Source organism: Homo sapiens, chromosome 6 (genome assembly GCF_000001405.40).
Source record: "Homo sapiens chromosome 6, GRCh38.p14 Primary Assembly".
NCBI lineage: Eukaryota > Metazoa > Chordata > Mammalia > Primates > Hominidae > Homo > Homo sapiens.
In genome coordinates, this window is record NC_000006.12 from 165939144 (window position 1) to 165956124 (window position 16981).

The following is a 16981-nucleotide window of genomic DNA, read 5'->3' on the forward strand; positions in this document are numbered from 1 at the left end:
TAATATCCTTCTTTTGTAAGACAAACCATAACCCAAAAGCTATGTACACATACAGGTTAACGAGTATCCCTTTCTCTCCAAAACCTCTTGTTCTTGCGTTCAGATAGCAAGTGCAGATGGTGAAATTGTATAGGGCGAGGGGCACCTGCATGTGTGCAAGTCCACGTGGATGTATTTATATCTGTAAATCAGTAAGCAGCATTATGGAATTCCACATTTTTACATTTTTTAAAACGTTTGCATAGACACATATAACAAATTTCTAAATACAATTTTATAAAGGAAGAAATGAAACAGGTGAACTGCTATAAATTTTTTGGACTTTTAAATTTTATTACTTTTAAATTTTGTTTCCATAGTTTACTTTTATTTCAATGGTTTTTGGTTACATGGATAAGTTCTTTAGTGATGATTTTTCAGATTTTGGTGTACTTGTCACCCTGCTTTAAATGAATATGACTTGGGTTCTTCTGGCATTTTTATTCCTGTAAAATAAACAGTGTCTGCACATCGCTAATTAGAAAAGTGTTCGACACAGAGTGTGGATTCCATTGTCCTCAGAAAACCCGTCAGAAGGAGGAGCAGGTAGGGAAATGATGTTCCTGGAAGTGCAGTCACTTTTTTAAGCTTACACAACTCCTAGCCTGCAGGACTGGATTTGTAACCTGAGGCTGCCTGACTCTAAACCCTTTTGGCTGCTCACAGGAGCCTCCCAAAGTCCTTGTTTTTGTCTCTGCCTTAAGACCTCCGTGGAGAATCCCGCACAACCAAGCTCCAGCAATGGAAGCGTTCTTTGCAGCTGATCACTTTGATTTCTCCAGTTACCACCCACCCCAAGTTCTTGGGCAGCAGAAGAGGTCATAGGACACTCAGCTCTCAACAATCCCACATCTGTGTGATGGGGGCAATGGGTAAACCTTACACCGTGACAATGACTAAGCCTTTAAATTGGAGCGTCCCCAAAACTGAGCACATAAGCCTTGCTTGTTTTATTATTCCAGAATTTTTTACTAGGTGTCCGCTTTGCATTCAGAATAAAGATTCTATTCTTTCAGCAATATGTTGTAGTGTCTTTAGTACATTTCCAGGCTATAGCACGTAGACTCAAATCTGTATTAAACTGGATCTTTGCAGACAGGGTTGGCCCAAATAAACGTGGAAAAAGGAGGACTGTGTTAAAACACATGCAGTGGAAACTAATCAAGGGCGCGTACAGACGCGGGCAGCTACTTGCCAACAACCAGGCCGAGCATAAAGTAGTATCAAGGAAAATCAACCAAGACTGTTTCATATTAGAAGGTGGAACCGCCTGGAAACAACACGCCCTCTCGGAAAGTTCCCGCCATGCTCTGGCGCAGTTTTTCATCGTGATGCATCTCCCGGCGCAGCCTGGCGCTCTGCGGGCTCCGCTTCTGCTCACACTGGCAGCGTTGGTGCACGTGGGAGTGCAGTCACGGGGCTCACGTTCGCGTTTCCTCGGCTGCCTGGAGCCCATAGAGCGCTCCTTTCTGGGGGTGCTTCCTCGTTCCTGGGAGCGTTCTGTCCTGTGCCTCCCTGTGAATTCTCTCCAGGGCGCCTGCCTGCGCCTTCCAGCCGCAGCCGACAGTTCCATTTTTAAAAGGTCTTGAATAAAGTGAAATGTGATTAGTTGTGGGAAATGAACCAATGATAAGCACAATTCAGCAGCCTTTATCACTGATGAAATGCAGAAATAAAGGTAATTTTCTCCAACTTTTGGTGCTATAGTAGCCGTGTTTCTATGAAAAACACTGATAGAACTTAAATTGTTTCATCTCCATAGTGCCTTTAGAAGAAACATAACCCACCATCAACTTCAGGACTGCTGCACGCACACTTCAACACTTCTTGGTGTAGAGCGCAGTAGGGGAGGCAATACAGCGAGATAAGAGCTCAGACTCTGAAGTCTGTCCGGGATTTGTGCCCACATCTCACACTTGGTACTCTGACCTTAGGCAAGTTACTGATACTTCTAGGTTCCATTTCCTTGAATAAATGGGGTATAGTAACATTTACACACCCCATAGGGTTGTTGAAAGGACTAAACCAGATGATACCAGTAAAACACTTAGAACGATGGTTGGCAGATGGGAGTGCTTAGCAATTCATTAATACTACATCCAAAGAGAAAAAATGGACTCGGGCCTTTCTGAAATCAATAAAAATCTGTTTCTGTGGCTGTTAAGGCCTTGTTTTCAAGAGGTGGAGAGACTCCCTCCATGAGCTCTCTGTCTAAACCAGACAGACTCCAGTCATTTGAAAACACTCCTTGCCTCTTGGCCTTCCCACAGAGCCCACCTGACATCATTTGGATATTTGTCCCCACCCAAATCTCATGTTGAATTTTAATCTGCAACATCCCGGTGGGGGATGTCGGGATCATGGAGGTGGATCCCTCACGGCTTGGTGCTGTCTTCCTGATAGAGTTCTCACGAGATTTGGTCACTTAAAAGTGTGTAGCAACTCCCTCCCCCACTCTCCCTTGCTCCTGCTTTTGCCATGTGATGTGCCTGCTCTCCCTTTGCCTTCTGCCATGATTGTAAGCTTCCTGAGGCCTCCCTAAAAACTGAACAGATGCCAGCACCATGCTTCTTGTACAGCATGCAGAGCTGTGGGTCAATTAAACCTCTTTTCTTTATAAATTTCCCAGTCTCAAGTGTTTCTTTATAACAATGGAAGAGTGGCCTAATGCACCACCTTTCACCTGCAGAGCCATCCCCCATCTCCTGCCATTTCACCTTTCTTTAAGAGCAGTCCCAAAGATCCCCCATCACCAAGATCTTCCCTGGGCACTTCAGGGGCAGAAGCCACTAGGGATGCACCTGGCTTCAGTCATCGTTCCTATCCACATAGCCATCCTCTCATGATGCCATCCGGACAGTGATTCCTGGATGTGACTCTGCCCCTCAGGCATGATTGGCAAGCAACTTCAAAACGTGCACATTTGGGGTTTTCTCATAAAAACTTTTTTCAATAAATGTCCGTTACTGCCTCATTTATTAAATATTCCAGTTAGGGCTGCCAACAGCCACGCTGAGCAGCCACGCTGTAGTATATCATATGTGTGCTGGGGTAGCAGGGGAATTAAAAATGCCAGTTTATGATTTTATATATGTATGTATGTGTGTGTATATATATATATACACACACATATATGCGCACACACACACACACCCCTTCACAAAATAAAGACTCCCTGAAGCTTGTTATTGTTCCCTGTTTTGTTTCTGCCTTGAAGATAGTTACTAAGGATGTTAATAATTTGTGAGGCATCATCTTTAGTGCCCCTTTGCACCCAGAGAAGGAGGCTGTCGAGGGAGATGTGTTCGGTGTGTGCTCACCTGTGCTCGCTGCCACCCACTGTGGACAGTGGGCCCTGCCATGTGTGCTTGCCAGGGCTCGCCGCTCTGCCCCCGCTCTGCCCCGCTCTCGGGCCTCTGCTCACCTGCCCTTGCCTTGTCTGCTCCCAGTTTCAGCTTGTTCCATTCAAATCCCACTGGACCTCTTCTTGGGAAAAGTACTGCTAATTCTGATCATTTATTAGGCACTATTATATACCAACCTACATAAAGTGCTTTAACCTCGACAGTGTGCTGGTAGGTATTTACGACAAGGCCCTCCAGGAGGAAAGCCCTGGTTTATGGTGTTTGCCAATTCCAGGGTGTAACTACAGCCCATTCTGCTAGAACATTTCTTCTGAAAATGAGGATTTGTTCCACTGTGATTGGTAAATTAGGGAACAATTTGAGTGTCATGTCAATGTCGGTTTGCTCAGGCACCATTTTGTTGCTCAGAAGCCAGGTGAATGTAATAGGAAGGATGGATCTCACACACATGCATTTCATCAAGACAAGGAGCCACACCCACCCATAGGATTTTAGATAGCCCTTGTATTAGTCAGGGTGCTCCAGAACCCTGGGGAGAAACAGAACCCAGAGAGAGGAAGGGAAATCGTGCGGTGGGGCAGGGGAGGCAAGAGAGGAGAGAGAGAGAGAGAGAGAAGAAAGAAAGAAAAAAGAAAGAAAGAAAGAAAGAAAGAAAGAAAGAAAGAAAGAAAGAAAGAAAGAAAGAAAGAAGGAAGGAAGGAAGGAAGGAAGGAAGGAAGGAAGGAAGGAAAGAAAGAAAGAAAGAAGGAAAGAAAGAAAGAAGGAAGGAAGGAAAGAAAGAAAAAGAAAGAAAGAAAAGAGAAAGAAAGAAAGAGAAAGAAAGAAAACGAACGAACTGAGTATACAGATCTATTGAGCACAATATTTATGATGGGAATGGCTCATGCAATTACGGAGGCTAGCAAGTCCCATGATCTGTTGCCTACACACTGGAGAACTGATGCTGTAACTCAGTCTGAGGTCAAAGGCCTGAGAACCTGGGAAGCCACTGGCGTAAGTACAGAGTCCAAAGGTCTGAGAACCTGGAGAACCTGGTGTTCCAGGGCCGGAGAAGATGAATGTCTCAGATCATACAAAGATAATTCACTCAAATTCACCCTTCCTCCACCTTTTCATTCTATTGGAGACTTCAGTGAGTCAGGTGATGCCTGCCATGTTGGTGAAGAAGGATCTTCTTTATTCAGTGTTTAAATTCAAATGCTAATATCTTCTGGAAACGTCCTCACAGACCTACCCAGAAATAGTGATTTTCCAGCAATCTGGGCACCACCTAACCCAGTCAAGATGGCACCTAAAATTATCCATCACATACTCCTACCAGCAGTTCAAAACAACATGAGCTACAGCCCTTCCTGCCACCAACCGGCTGCACAGCTCTGTGCCTTCCCTTCTGTATTAGTCTGTTCTCACACTGCTGATAAAGACATACCCAAGACTGGGTAATTTATAAAGGAAATAGGTTTAATTGACTCACAGTTCTGCATGGTTGAGGAAGCCTCAGGAAACCCTCAATCATGGTGAAAGGGGAAGCAAATGCCTCCTTCTTCACATGGCAGCAGCAAGAATAAGTGCTGAACAAAAAGGGGGGAAATCCCTTCTTAAAACCATCAGATCTCATGAGAACTCACTCACTATTGGGAGAACCGCATGAAGGTAACCACCCCCATAATTCAATTACCTCTCACTGGTTCCTTCCCAGGACACATGGGGATTATTCAAGATGAGATTTGGGTGGGGACACAGCCAAACCATATCACCGTCTCTTTAATTTCTCCTCTTGAATCCCAGATATTTTGTATTTTTCCTTTGGTTTTCTGTTCTTTTTCTCTTGGGAACTCTTTGGTTCCCTTCCTCTTGCAGACAGGGAGGTGGACATGGTGGGCCCCCAGGCATGGGACACTCACTTCTACAAGCAAACTTCAGGTCTTTCTCAAGGTGATCTTTTCAACGTGACGTCTTTACTGTGGTATTTACAGATTTCTTAATGAGTTGAAATGTATAACTGTGTGCTACCATTTTTATTGGGTTCCTCATCTTTTATTATTTGTCACTAATAAAGTTTTTGAATGTTGTGTCCCTAACCCCATTTTCCCATAAGCCCTGCAGTTTTTAACGTAGAAACACATACATTACATTAGAGCAGAACTAACTGCCTGTGGTATGCTGGGGCCCACTCACGTTCACATATTCTTGCTTCAAAGAGCTGGTTGGATTCCCAACTCTGTGTTTAGTGATGTCATATAAATACTGCAGTAAATATGTCACTGTGCAAAGAAAATTTTTGAAAAAAAAGTATCTTCTATACTTAAAGAGGATAAGGTCCTTTTATGAAAAGTCTATGTGAAGTGAAAATCTTCTGTGCTCAGAAGGCAGGGCTTCAATTTCTAGTTTTGCCAGCTGGTATGACCTTGAGTGTGGCAATGACCTTGGGTGTGGGAGCCAACTCATGGTGGCCCCTGTGACCCCCATCTCCTGGTGTTCACATCCCCCATGTTGCACAGGGCGGTTGGTTTGTGTGACCAACAGAACCCAGAAGAAGTGAGAGTGTGTCACTTTGAAATCAGGCTCTAAAGACATTGCAGCTTCTGACTTGGTTGCTTATTTGCTCAGTGGGCCACCTGCTTTGGGGAGGGCCAGCCTCCACATTGAATGGGCCTCCTGACAACAGCCATGTGCCGTGAACCACCTTAGAATCAGTTCCTCCAGCCCCAGTAAAACTTCAGATGATATAACTACAGCCAGCATCTAAACTGAAGTCTCATAAAAGACTCTGAGACACAGCCACACAGCTAAGCTACTCTTGACTTCCTAACCCTCAGAAACTATGAGAAACAATATATGCTTGTTTGTTTAAGCCAATAAATTTTGGAATAATTTGTTGCTACAGTCTTCATCTTTGTGTCCCCACACCCCAATTTATATGCTTAAATCCTAAACTCCAAGGTGATAGTATTAGGAGGTGGGGCCTTTTGGGGGGTGATTAGGTCATGAGGGTGTAGCCTTCATGAATGGGATTGGTGCCCTTATAAAAGAAACCCCGTTGAGCTTGTTTGCCCATTCCACCATGTGAAAACACAGCACGGAGGTGCCATCTACAAACCAGGAAGAGAAACTGCCAGCACCTTGATCTTGGACTTCCCAGCCTGCAGGACTCTGAGAAATAGATTTCTGTTGTTTATAGTATTTGATTGTAGTAGCCTGACTAGCCTAAGACATTTGCTATGGAGCAATAGATAACTAATAGAGTCACTAAGTCATCTAGTTCTCTATATACATATGGCAAACAGGTACAATAATGCTAATTCTGTCTACTTCATAGATAAATAATTAAACCAAGTGGGGAAATGTGTGTGATTGCACTTTAGCAACTGTAAAAATGCCATGCAGCCATAATGTGCTATTTTTACATTTAAAGATATCATTTAGTTGATTGTTTCCTTTGCTGTGCAGAAGCTTTTTAGTTTGAAGTAATCCCATTTGTCTATTTTTGCTTTTGTTGCCTGTGCTTTTGGGGTCATAACCAAAAAAAAATCATTGCCTAGACCAATGTCATACAGCTTTTCCCTTACATTGGTCACGGGTTAGGAAGGTTCAATGAGACAGAAGGAATAAGCTAAAGAGAGCTATTGCAAAACATAGTGACTATAGTTAATAAGAATATATTGTCGGCCAGGCTCAGTGGCTCATGCCTGTAATCCCAGCACTTTGGGAGACTGAGGCGGGTGGATCACGAGGTCAGGAGATTGAGACCATCCTGGCTAACACAGTGAAACCCCCTCTCTACTAAAATAAAAAACATTAGCCGGGTGTGCTGGCATGCGCCTGTAGTCCCAGCTACTAGGGAGGCTGAGGCAGGAGAATGGCGTGAACCAGGAGGCGGAGCTTGCAGTGAGCCGAGATTGCGCCACTGCACTCCAGCCTGGGTGACAGAGCAAGACTCTATCTCAAAATAAAAAAAAAAAAAAAGAAAAAGAAAAAGGAAAAAAGAATATATTGCCTTCTTAAAAAATGCTAAGAGTAGAATTTAAGTGTTCTCACCACAAAATGACAACTCTGTGCAGTTATGTATATGTTAGTTAGCTTGATTTAGCCATTCCACAATGTATATATATTTCAAAACATCATGTTGCACATAATAAATACATAAAACTACCTGGCTATTTAAAAAACTAATAAATATATCATTCAGGCCTTACTACATGACCTTCACATGATCAGAAATTTAATAATTAAAATACATGTCTCTACCATCCAGAAATTAGTGCAGGAAACACATTATTGAATATAATTCAGATATTTTCTATCTATATATACACTTGCATACCTAAAATGAAATGACTTTTTACGTATAATTTTATAACCATTTTTTTTTCAGTTAATAAGCTCTAGGTTTCCATTTCAATGAATCTTCATCTTATATAATATCTAGTCCACGTTCAAATTTACTCGGTTGCTCCAAACATTTTCTTTAGCTGGCTTAACCATTCAGGATCCAGTCAAGGCCCATTCATTGTACCTTGTTGCTTTCCTTAGGTTGCTCCTAATCTACCACAGCTTCTTTATCAATGACGTGCAGTCATTGATGAAGACCACATTTCATCTTCTGGGCGTGTCTGGGTATTTCCTCATGGAGTCATTTTGTCTTTTCCTCTATCTCCCATATTTCCTGTAAGCTGAAAATCAGATCTAAACGTTTATAAATTCAAATTAGACATTTAGGATTAGACTACATGTTAAGTGATGCTGTGTACATAAAGCCTGGTTGACTGGCCATTGCTGATGCTTAAGTTGACAGTGGGTTAAGAGATTGATCATATAATCCTTCCATTGTACAGCTACTTTTTCTCCCTTAGATCAATGTCTAGATCTGCATTAAACTACATATCTAATGTTGATTTTTCTAATTCTATCATTTATTCTATATTATTGATGGCCTTTTATTCTTTTAAAATAGAGCTTTCTCTCACCAACTCAGCTGTCTCATTATCCCCAGTGCAGTTCATATTGGAAAGAGAGGGTAAATAATGATTGCTTTTCAGTGTCAAATTCTTAATGTAATGAGTTGGTTTAGTAGTCATCTCAAGTTGTGGCATAAACGTATTTTCCTAGCTTTTGCTTTTTGAGTTTCATTATGGACTCACGTATTTTTATTGATTCAATGTGCATTAATATGCTATAACCACTGCTACTTTTGATGTCGAAATTGTCATACTTTTGGCCAACAGGAAGGGGCTTCTCTTTGCACAATCGTATGGGTTTTTGGCTGCTTCCTTGCTTCCTGACACAGCAAGACATCACTTACCCCCGACCTGGAATTATCCATCTCACCAATTAAGTATGGCCTTCTGAAAGGGCAGCGTTAGGTAATGTCCTATCAAACAGACTGGAATGGCATAAGATTCTGCTTTATTTTCAGAATATTATATGTAAATTACAGGGAATAGGAGAAAACCTTGTCAAATCAGAATTCGACCTGAATCTTGACAATGGACTTCTCTGATGCAAAGAATCATATACATATACATATATGTACATATATATACACATACATATATATACATATATATATAGAGAGAGAGTGTCTGTGTGTGTGTGTCTGTCAATAGACAAGAGATGTCTAAATTGCAAAGTCTTCTTCCACTTAATAAAAGTAAGACCAAAATAAGACCTTGAGACCTGAACCAAGAGTTTTATTATCAAGTGCAGGTGGAGAGACCTCAGGATAGGTAGAGGAAGTTCCTACCATCAGGCAAAGAAAGTATAAAGCTCTGTCAATGGAGAACAAGAGAAGAGTACACTGCCAGGAGAAAGAGTTATTGATTCTCCCTTCCTGGGGAGGAGGTTCCACCTCTCAGTAGTGGGTGTGGTGGGGATGGAGGCAGAACTAAGTCAGAGAGCAGAGGAGCTTGCACCTACCTCCCACCGGGAAGGCTCTGGGAGGAGACCTCATGGAGTGCTCTGCACCAAGGTGATGTTCTACCTCAAAGGAGAAATGGCAGTGCGGCCTTCGGGCAGAATGCTCTCCCGTGTTTCCAGCAACAGAAGTTCCCGAATACTCCTGCTAAGGAAGGTAGCTGAGAGCTGAGGCCCATCAAGAAACCATCGAGGTGAGAAACAAGGTGATTTCAGAGCCAAGATTGCTGTGGGTGGACAGTCTAAGCCAGGGGCCAGGTGAGGGACTTGTTTGAATCCTACATGAATGCCAAGGTGGGACAAAGCAAGCTGCAGAGGGGACTTCCGCCTTGGCCATGCCTAGGGGAGTGACTAAGCTGGCCCCACAGCAGTAGGTACAGGGAGGACTGAGGCCTTGGCCCAGAGTCCCAGTGAGAGAAGCTGTGCCACCACGTGAGGTCAGGTACATGCAACAAAACGTGACAGCCTCGATTATGTGTGGTCCCTGTCCTGACTCCAGGAAGCCATCGCATCTGTCTTGCCACAGGGCACCTACTTTGGAAGAAGCAGCAAACAGGAAATGGCCCTGGTAAATAATCTGAGTTTTGAGTTGATGGATTCAGAAACTCTATTTTTCAAAAAGAAATAGTTTCAGTCCAGAAAAGATTGTTACCTTTAACTAAGAAAAATGTTATCTTTTCTTCCACCCTCAATGGGGATATAGGCTCCATGGCAAGATGAAATCAGTTAAACATCACGATTAAGCCATATTGGTCACGCTAACCCATTTGAGATGAGTTATCTTTTAAACCCACCTAGTACACAGTACGATGCAATTCAGAATGCTTGTTATTACAACGATTCCCTGGTTCTTCGACTCTCTTGAGTCTTAGTGCACGGGCTGGAGGAGGTGCCCATGGCAGATGCCCTGGAAGGGGTCGGCAGCACGGCTCAAACAGCAACACACACTGGTGCAACACGTCGGATGATGACTGGGGTGACCACCGCAGAACTTATGAAGTGCCACAAACTGGTGCAACACATCGGATGATGACTGGGGTGACCACTGCAGACCTTATGAAGTGCCACAGACTGGTGCAACACGTCGGATGATGACTGGGGTGACCACCGCAGATCTTATGAAGTGCCATCTCCCGCTGACCATCCCCCACATGAAGAACTACTTGAAAATAAAAACGTAGGAGATCTCTTTAGAAGAACTCTATTAATATGATACACATGTTATGCATTCATTATGAGCTGCAGGTTACATAATGAGGTGTCTGAAAAATGTTTAGGAGGAGGCACAGTACATAAAAGTATTCTGTCGTGGTTTATCATCAGTGTCCAGAAATTCACCAAAAAATGGAAAAACGAACACATCCAAAGATGAATAAAATGATCATCTGTAGTTATCGCATGAGTTTCAATATAATTCTGGCTATTTTTGTTGATGATAGGAAGTAAAATGATCCCTGGGGGAAAAATGAGAAAATCAAAAACTAAAATTTTATTTAATTATCATAAGAGCTAAAACATGAGGAGGAACAAGAATGTTGATGCAAGAGGCATCTTTTAAAAATAAGTATTATTTTGCATGTGTTTAGTCCAGCCTCTTGTTTTTGCTTTGTCCTGATTAAGCTGACTGCTTTATCATTGTTAGGTTATCTCCCTTAGAAGATGAAGTCAGATTGGCTTGAAAATATGACCTATTTCTTTTATATATTTTAAATGTTTAAAATAAAATTGAATATATCCTGTGACCTGAATAGGAGATCCCAAAAAATACTACAATATTTATCCTTCCAGCATACACAAAAGTACAGTCTTTGTTAAATGTTTTAACAGGCTTTTATAGCTTGATAGCCATAAGTTTTTTACCCAACAAGATTCACTCACAGTAACATGGTCTAGAGCAGCATTTAGCATTTTCTATTTGCACACTGAGAGCTTCTGGAATTTTTAGCTTCTGATTTCTATCAAAAGAATGAGAGAGGAGCTTGCTTCCCTGGAACCCCGTGTAGGGTGTGAGAGTGATGCACCTGTTCCCTAGGAAGGACACCGGGCGGGAGCTCCAGCACAGAAGGCTTTGCCAGCTCTGCTTAGAACCTTCTTCCCTGCACACAGAGTGCTTTCTGCAAGTGGGCGTTCACAGGAGACTCCCAATACCTGTGCAGACCAGGTCTGCTCGGATGCAGAAGGCGGCCTTCTAGTCAGGAGGACAGCAGCTGCCAGCCCAGGAGTGGGTACCCATGGATGAGGAGGACCAATTTAAGTTACAGCCGTCTTCAGCTGAGCCTTGGAAGTCTAAAGCACTAAAAAAAAGGGGAGATCTGCTTACAGGATGGTGAGTATCCTGAGCTGGCTGAATCCCCAGACATGAACCAGGGCTACACACAACAAAAGTCACGTGAAAAATTAATAAAGTAATGTAAAACTGGGGTACACGTTGGGAGATCTGATCTCTCATCCTGATTTAATAAAGAACATGTGTCCTCTTTGAAAAGATCCTGATTTCTTTGGACATTATTCTTTCCTACATTGTTTGGAATGATAAAAATGTGGGTTATCTTGGTTCTTACATATTGTATCATTTTATGCCAACTTTAAGCTCTAGAAGTCAGTTTGTGGGATTGGCAAAGGCCATGAAGGTCTTTCTCAAGGTTGAAATAAGCCACACTGTTTAGGGATGTCAGCTGGGGAGGGATCTGAAAAACTACCTCCGAACTGATACAAAGTCACGCTAGATTTGCCAGTTCTGTAAAGTAACACATTAGATCACAGTCAACAGACACACTCACAGGTCAGTATATTAAACATCATCTCCAACATTGTTTTACGTCTTCTTCTTGAGTATTACCTGTGCATCCTTTTGTTCATTTTTGAGTCTTGTAGAACTTCAATTCAGGTTGATCTGCTCTGTCAAGCTTTGTTCTGCCCAACCTGAGATCCCTTTCTGGGGGTATTTTCTGATCTATTGGCTAACAGCCCTCCTTTCCGTGTCCAGCATCCTTCAGCTGGATTGCCACAGCTCCTTGGTTGATTTCCCTACCAACCGTCAATTGCCCCTCCCACTGGTCCTGAAGCAGAGCGACATCCAGCTTCTTCTGCACCACTCACGACGTAGGGTGAACTTCCAATGGGACCCTTATGTGCAAGGTCCTCTTCCATCTGGCTCCAGCCTTCCTTTCTCACTCGGTCTCCTAACACTGACTCCCCCATTTAGACGAGTCTGTTCTCCGTTCTCCAGCACTGTCCTCTGCCTGCCGTTTCTTCTAGTTTAATTTTTTAGGCTCCTCTCCCACTGCCCTCAATTCTCCAAATCCAGGTGCGGGCACATCTTCTCCATGCAAGTGGTGACCTGGCTCTTTTAATACATGGTCCTTCTTCCATTTATTCATTCAACAAGCTTTTACTGGGGCCCTACAAAGGGCCCAGCCCTGTTCTAGCTAAAAACTAGCCAAAACTCTTCAACTGGCATTTTATCATACACTTGCTCTAGTTATTTATAATAAATAGTTGACATTCATCATGAATTTACTATGCCAGGGGAGGTAAGTACTTTCCAACATGTGCATCTCATTCTCGCAATAGCCTCCTGAAATAGGTGCTGTTATTATCCTCAAGTCCTCATGCGAAGTAACGAGGCAGAGACATTAAATGACTTTCCCAGTCTGTGCATCTAATACGTGCCCAGCTAGGGTTCAACGTCAGCATTCTGGCTCCGGAACGCCTCTCAGCCAGCAAGCTGCCATGCACCCACCAGCAGCCCCCATGGCCTCTGCCAGAAACCGTGCCAGGGATTTGATTCCTTCACCTGTGCCTTTCTTCACTCCCCAACTTTAATAGAGCCCACATGTCTCACGGAGCATAACTATACAGCTCCTAAAGAAACCATGCATACATTACGTATTATCTTGGTTAGCTTTTGCCAAAATCAGGTGTTTGAACCTGATAATGAAGCCACAACAGGAACCTGTTATGTTGTATGGTCTGTGGGAAAAACACCAGAAAATGACACCGTTTCTTAGTTTTACACACACACATTTGCAAATTCAATTCTAAAACATGCAGACTCTATTAGTGTTGATTCTTAAATATGACTACTGAAATAAAAATGTCAACATTTGCTTTTCTTCTTTTAAGAAATGGAGAAAACTCACGGGAGGACTAAGAAATCTGGGAGAGGCAGGAAACCACACCTCTTCAACTCCCCGCCTGGGCAGAGAGAAAGGGCTCTGCACGGGACGGAAAGCGCAGCTGCCCTGACCAGCCTGGCCTCAGGGCCCAGAATCCTCCGCATCCTCCAGCTATCAGGGCTCACATGGGCCTAGTCGTCCTTCACACTGGGCTCCATCCACTTTGCTTAAGTAAATCTTTCACAGATATCTCCTCAGCCACTTATTATTTTTATAAGAGAAAAAAAAAAAAGGCCACAGTGCATTCCTAACCAAAAGTAGTTGTGGTTTTTCCATCCTCTCATGAGTGTGAAACTGCCCAGCGGCCTCCCTCAGGTCCTACCTGAAAATTATGTTTTAAGTCCAGCATTAGAGGAAATTCTGAAGTGAAGCAGGGAGACTCATAAAATGAAAATCCGTGTTTGAGCTTGCTGCTGAGCTCCCTTTTTGTGTCTATTGAAGCTAATCAACTTCTCGGCATTGTAGTTTGCACTTAGGACTTGCTCTATGACTTGGGCCCTCAGTGCCTCTGTTCTTGCAGAGGCACTTTCCAACCATCTAGTTAATAGTACTCCATTCCTACCCCTTCCAATATCTGAGGAATTAAATATTGTTTTCTAAAATAGTAATATTTATTACCAAAAGAAATAAAAGAAATTTGAGGGCTGTTTAATATTTATTATAAAAATTTGGCCAGGCACAGTGGCTCACGCCTGTAATCCCAGCATTTTGGGAGGCCGAGGCGGGCGAATCACCTGAGGTCAGGAGTTCAAGACTCACCTGACCAACATGGTGAAACCCCATCTCTATTAAAAATACAAAAATTAGCCGGGTGTGGTGGCGCACACCTATAATCCCAGCTACTCGGGAAGCTGAGGCAGGAGAATTGCTTGAACCCAGGAAGCGGAGGTTGCACCAAGACGAGATTGTGCCACTGCACTCCAGCCTGGGTGACAGAATGAGACTTCGTCTCAAAAAAAAAAAAAATAGATTTCTATTTTTTAGAGAAGTTTTAAGTTTACAGAAAACTGAGCAGACAGTAGAGAGTCCTCCCGTCCCCGGCATCCTCTACTATCTGCGTCTTGCACTAGTGTGGCATATCTGTTACAAGTGATGCACCAATACTGACACATTGTTATTTACTAAAGTGCGTAGCTTACATCAGAGTTGGTTCCTTGTGTTGTACAGTTCTACAGTAGTTCTATGTACTTTACCAAGTACATAGTGACCTGTATCCACCATTTGAGTAACATGCAAAATGGTTGCATTGTCCTCAAATTCCCCTGTGTCCCACCTCTTCATCTCTCCATCCTCCCGAGCCCCGGCAACCACTGATCTTTTTAATGTCTCCATAGTTTCATCTTTTCCAGAAACCAATATAGCTGGAATCATGGCCTTTCCAGATTGCTTCTTTCACTAAGTAATGTGTATTTGGGGTTCCTTGCTGTCTTTTCCTGACAACAGCTCATTTCTTTGTAATGCTGGATAATATTCCACTGTGTGGAACGACCACAGTTTGTTTATCCATTTACCTAACCGAGGGTATCCTGGTTGCTTTCAGTTTGGGGCAATTATAAATAAAGCTGCTATAAACATTATTTTGCAGATTTTTGTATGGAAAGATGAAAATTTTTAACAATTTTTAGATGAAAATATTATAGTAGATGGTGCTTCTGACATTACCACTCTTGTGACGTACTGATATTGCTAAGATTAAGTTGTCAGACCTGAATATAAACGTGGTGGCTGCATAATAACTGCTACATGTCTTAAAGATCACACACACTCACATGGACACTTGGTTTGGTTCTAGACATTCACAGTTTAACGTCTACCTACGGGTAAGAAGCCCTCAGCTTCCTAAAGTCCATCAGTTAGGAACACAAAACTCAACCAGCAGAGCATAAAACAGGGTTAGGATTCGTTTTGCTAAGATAACAAGAGAGGACAGAGGCAGCTGCCAGCATTGTCATCAAAGGCACAGGGTCTCTCCGTCCTCCCTCCTCACCACCTGTGCCGACTCCAGCTTCATCTTGGCTGCGCCTCAGTTGCAAGGCGGGCACAGCAACAGGTAGGCCAAGCAGCCCACCAGGGATCGCACCAGAAGGCCTTACAAGAAGGCTCAGGGTTTCCGGAAGCTTCTACACAGCCTTGGCTTTCTATCTCACTAGCTGGGCCCTGTCCCATGGCTACCTCTGTGTGCAGGGGAGGCTGGACAGGCCAGCATTTCTTTCTTCAAAGTTCACAAGCAGAGACAAGCAAGGGAGAAGGTCATGAATTAGCTAAAGCAACAGGCTTTGTTATTGCAGGGAATTAACAGCAATAAGCAAAAAACTCAACAAACTCAACGTAGCTCCAGCCTGGCCCATTCCAACCTGCCTTACACCTCCACAAGGATCTCCTCGCTGCCCAGGTTGGGACCTGGCCATTAAGGACTTTGAGAATGGTCGCCGTTTCCGTGACAGCTCCTCCGCTGCCATCACGGCCTCTATGCCACCACTGATCCACACGCGTAGAAAGGAGCCCAAGAGGGCTCGCACTCACCTTGGGGCTACAATCCCCAAGTTCTCCACATAGCCCGAGGGTCAAGGTCGTGCTCGGTGTATAGGGTTGGAGGTGCACAGAGGACAGAGAAGGCAAAGCTCATTTTAATGGCATCCCTCTTTTATTTTCCACTCCTTTACTTTAATCATTATCTCTCACTTGGATCTTTGCGATAACTTCCAAACTGTCTCCTCTTCAGTCTCCCTGTATTCAGTGTTTCTCCAACAATTTCCAGATGAGGCTTCCTGAAACGTGGAAGTGACTGGTCCCTTATTTGCTCACACACCTTTGCCACCTCCGCTTTAGTCACCATGTAAAGCCTGACATGGGAGCTTAGCGTCTACCTCCACCGTCTGCCTGCTACCATTCTGCTGTTCCCATTACCCGTAATCTTCTTCTTACAAAGCCCACCATTTCAATTCAGGAAATTCACAAAGCCAGATACTAATCCACATTAGAAAATCTTAATATGGGACACATATGGAAGTATTTTAAGTGCGAGTAGAAAAGTCATTTCTTCATACTTTAGAAATTATTGACAAGAAAAAAACAACTATGCAAGACCAGAGAATTTAAAGAACTTAAATTCTAGTAACGTGTTAACTAGTAGTGCAAACAGGATACTATGACAAATGAAAAGTTAAAAGCTGCCAATACCTGCACCTATATTTTGGAAGTATAACATAACTACCAAAGGTAAAATAACATAAAACATAAAAATATACATTTGATTCATATAAAAATTCCTAAAGCTATACAGAAGAAGCATCTTGTATGTTTTGTTTTGCTACAACTTCTGAGCATATTCTTAACATTGATGCCTCAACAGTCACGTCTATAAAATGGAAACATCTGTAAACTGCCTGAACAGAAGACTGGGAGATAGATGGGAAAATTGTCAAGGGTTCTTTCAACTTTAAAATGTCTGATACTATTAGATTTTTTAAAAATAAAACAGTGCAT

The 16981-nt window shown here is 43.0% G+C and overlaps 1 protein-coding gene and 1 long non-coding RNA gene across 5 annotated transcripts in view; both read right to left on the minus strand.

The window, feature by feature from the left end:
* The window catches only part of PDE10A (phosphodiesterase 10A), a 660764-nt gene that overhangs the window by 611855 nt on the left and 31928 nt on the right, over positions 1 to 16981 (minus strand). The gene's annotated exons all lie outside the window — the stretch shown is intronic.
* LINC00473 (long intergenic non-protein coding RNA 473) overlaps positions 1 to 16981 on the minus strand; it is a 63992-nt gene that overhangs the window by 15096 nt on the left and 31915 nt on the right. The window contains exon 2 of one of the 2 annotated variants that reach the window (NR_026860.1): positions 313 to 1623. The exons of the other annotated variant lie outside the window; for it this stretch is intronic. This is a non-coding gene — a long non-coding RNA (long intergenic non-protein coding RNA 473). Of the gene's footprint in view, positions 1 to 312; positions 1624 to 16981 lie in introns of those variants that run through there. 2 annotated transcript variants of the gene reach the window in all.